This window comes from Homo sapiens, chromosome 6, assembly GCF_000001405.40.
Source record: "Homo sapiens chromosome 6, GRCh38.p14 Primary Assembly".
In the NCBI taxonomy this organism is placed as follows: domain Eukaryota; kingdom Metazoa; phylum Chordata; class Mammalia; order Primates; family Hominidae; genus Homo; species Homo sapiens.
In genome coordinates this window covers 153,804,493-153,806,658 of record NC_000006.12, presented here as the reverse complement: position 1 = coordinate 153,806,658, position 2,166 = coordinate 153,804,493, and positions in this window count along the sequence as shown.

Genomic DNA, 2,166 nt, shown 5'->3' with positions numbered 1-2,166 from the left:
TCTGAAATTTCTAACATGGCCCTGAGCAAGATTTCTGTGCTAAACCTAAATTTTCTCATATGTAAAAACAGGATTATTAATGGTCCTTTCAAATAAGGTTATTATGATTAAGTGGAATAATATATGTACAATTCTTAGCACAGTCTTTTGTAATAGTCAGCACTTAAAAAAATATGAACATGCGCACATACACAGATTTACAAATGTATAACGATGTTGGTAGATTGCCTATCAATTGTGTTGTTTATTTTGTTTGGGGTCTAGCACAGTACTTCCAATGACAGGTTATTGAAAATTTTATCCTATGGGAAGAGTTAATGTGTCATGCCTTGTCAATCCTTTTTCATTTCCTTTGATGGTTGCTTCCAGCCTAAAGCCTCCCAAATTCCATTGATCTTCCCTAGGAGTCTCATTCTGGCACCATCTATCCATTTTTCTTGGTACCAGGAGACCCTCCTAATTTATCCTTTTCATCAATGGAGTCAGGTTTTATTCTTGGGCTTGATTCTCTTACAATGATAACTCATGTATGTTTAAGTGGGTTATAATTGCTTAATGAGTTACTTTTTTCAGATAAGTGATTTACAATTAACTGAAATTGTTAATGGTTTAAGCTGATGGTTCTCAATTTTGAATATACATCAGAATCATCTGAAGGGAATACAACACAATTTGTTGGGTCCTAATCCCGGAGTTTCTGATTCAGTAGGTCTCGAGTGGGATCTGAAAATATGCATTTCTAACAGGTTCCCAGGTGATATCGATGATGTTGGTGTTGAGACCAAGCATTGTGAACCACTGGTTTAAGCCAAAGGGATATTATGAGTTTAAATCATCACAACTAAGTTACTAAAGGAGACATTTGGTGTAAGAGAAACATTCAGTATTGCTTCAAGAAAATAGGTGGAAATAACTTCACAGTCAAGTGACTTATACCATTAACAAAAAAATGTAATTTTGTATTGGAAGGTCTGGAACATTTTTTTCCCATAGTTAGTCCCTGTTTCTTTATTCCTCAGAAATTTCTGTGTACATGTACAGCACTAACTTCTCAAAATCCACATGCACCAGCAATCTAGTGCCTAGTCTCAAATACATTTTATTTAGACTTACATTTCCCTTGTAAAGGTATGAGACATCTAAAGCTAATCCCTGTCCTTTGGGCCTCCTTGATGATCAGTGTGTTGCTGCTAGGATGGGAAGGAAGAAAACTGCCACCTCTATTGGACTTGGTATCCCTACAAAGCATGACTACTTGCCAGACATCCCAAACCCTGGGGCTGGTTGTTTTTTTGAGTCCTTGGTGAATGCAGATGAAATGACAGGAAAATTCATGTCATAGGGTGACTTTAGTACTCTGAATGGTTCAAGTGGCTCTGTTTCTATTGAATTTTTCACATAATAACTTTAATTTTCTACTTTATTTGCATGCATATGCCTGGCCAGACTCCCAACAGCTGAGTTCTTTCAGATAATCAGCAAGAGTATCTTGGAACAATTGGCAATTGCATGGAAATTCATGTTTTGAAAAGTGAGTAATTATATGCACAGGTATCTAACAATATGTGTACTGAAGTACTCATTTGAAGCGATTATGAATAACTGCCCCAAATTGCCCTGAGCGTTTCTCTCCTGAATGCTCCACAAGTTGAGTTTGAAGTGCAACGCAAGCTTAGCTTCAAGGCCTCCTTTTGTTTACTGAAGCCTGCTGAAAATGGTTCCTCTGCGCTGTCACAGTGCACATACTCCTGCCTTCTCTTCCTGCACATTGAAGCTTGTTTATTCTTCACAGCACACTTCAGTGTCTCACCTTGTCTCCTCCTGAAACATTTCTGTCTTTGTGAAATCTCATTTGAGTATTTCTTAGTATGACATGCTGTCTTGCTGCACATCCGTATTTTGGCACAGTTTGTCATTCTAAAATAGGCTATTCTTAATTTAGCTTTAGCTTTTCTTCAGTGTTTTCATTTAATTTCCTATCAATTGTATTACCTATCAGAAAGTTGGTAGAGATGTTAAAAATAAATTATTTGAAACAGGTGTCTGTAAGATTGAGATGCATACACTCCCCTGGCCTTTTGCACTTTTTTATTCTTTACTTTTCCTTTCTTCTAAACCCAATCTGTTTTTACATAGGCAGTGCTTCATTGCACCCGAGCCCCACCT